Raw genomic sequence first — 1,299 nt, forward strand, 5'->3', positions numbered from 1 at the left:
ATTACAGTCCTACAATGGAAAAATATCAATTTTAAAAAACAGAAAAAAATTATGTCATATTTTTAAGAGTAGTCTTTGCGTGAGAAAATGAAACTTCAATGTTCAAAGAATAAATGGGACTTCTCTGGGCCTGTTTTATCATCTGTAAAATGGACCTACGTCACGACCACAGAACAGTGCTTGTCACTAAGTAAACAGTCAATAAATGACAGCCTTAAAATACAGAACACTCCCAGGATGGCAAAGGAGGCAGTGCCCTCAGGGGAGTCAGGGGTCAGAGCAAGAAAGTGAAGGTAACTTTCAGAGAGGAGGTCGAGGGCATATGGCAAGTTTCCAATGGAGCCTGACCTCCAGAGGCCAGTGAAGGGTTTCTGGAATGGGGGATGGTGTGTGACAGAAAATGGGAATAGAAAAGGGGATGTCCTGGGCCCACAGAGAGACTCCAGTGAGGACGCTGAGAGGTGACGTGGCTGTCTGCGGTTCCTTGTGGTCTCAGAGCAGATGATAATGGTGAGGTTGCGACAGAGTGCCTGGGGCTTGCCCTCCACTTCTGACAATGAAACTGGGAGAGGAACAGGTTACTCAGAGTGCATGAGGTCCTTTAGAACTCGGAAATATAACTTTAACTGGGTCTGGTGACTTGAACCAAGGTAGCTGGGCACCTGCTTCCTGTCTTCATCACCTCGGTTGGTTTCCAGTTCCACATTAACTGTTCTTATTCCCAGCTTTAGAGTGTGCTCCCTTCTAGGGCATCTGCTCCAAGCCATAGGTGTTCAGATTTAAGGTGGGTGGTATGAGGCCCAGGCATCGATATTGAAAAGTAAAAAATTATAACTCCCTAAGTGATTCTAATGTACAGCCACACTTGAGAACCATGGGATGTATCCCTGCTGTCTTTTGTGTGACCATAACAAATATGTAGTTTTTATTATTTTTCTGTCAACTCTAGCTCATCCCAGGCCTTTCCAACATTATTCTCAGAGGTGTTTGGCACTTATATTCATCCTTGATTTATATATCCAAACTCCCACTTTCTGTTCGTGTCTTTTAAAATTATGAGATTGGAGAGCTGACTTGTAGCCACAATGGTCTCTTTAGATACCTCTTTTCCCTTCATCAGAATAATTTGTGACTATATAGCAGATACTTATTTTTCAGAGATCTGAATACACAGAAGCATCTTCATATTTTATCTCATCTTTTTGTAAGCTTATTTCATAAGGTTTGGAGTAGATGTTGATGCCTAACACTGTCTTCTATGTATATCATGCTTTGAACTGGAAAAAGCGCCAATGAACA

At 42.2% G+C, this 1,299-nt stretch overlaps 1 annotated feature.

Annotated features, from left to right (window-relative positions):
* Positions 602 to 651: an enhancer, noted in NCBI's record as "active region_7522". NCBI's record gives its function as "activates an Ori minimal core promoter by ATAC-STARR-seq in GM12878 lymphoblastoid cells {active_cell/tissue: GM12878}" and the evidence as "EXISTENCE:reporter gene assay evidence [ECO:0000049][PMID:35858748]".

The sequence above is a fragment of the Homo sapiens genome, chromosome 13 (genome assembly GCF_000001405.40).
Source record: "Homo sapiens chromosome 13, GRCh38.p14 Primary Assembly".
In the NCBI taxonomy this organism is placed as follows: Eukaryota; Metazoa; Chordata; class Mammalia; order Primates; family Hominidae; genus Homo; species Homo sapiens.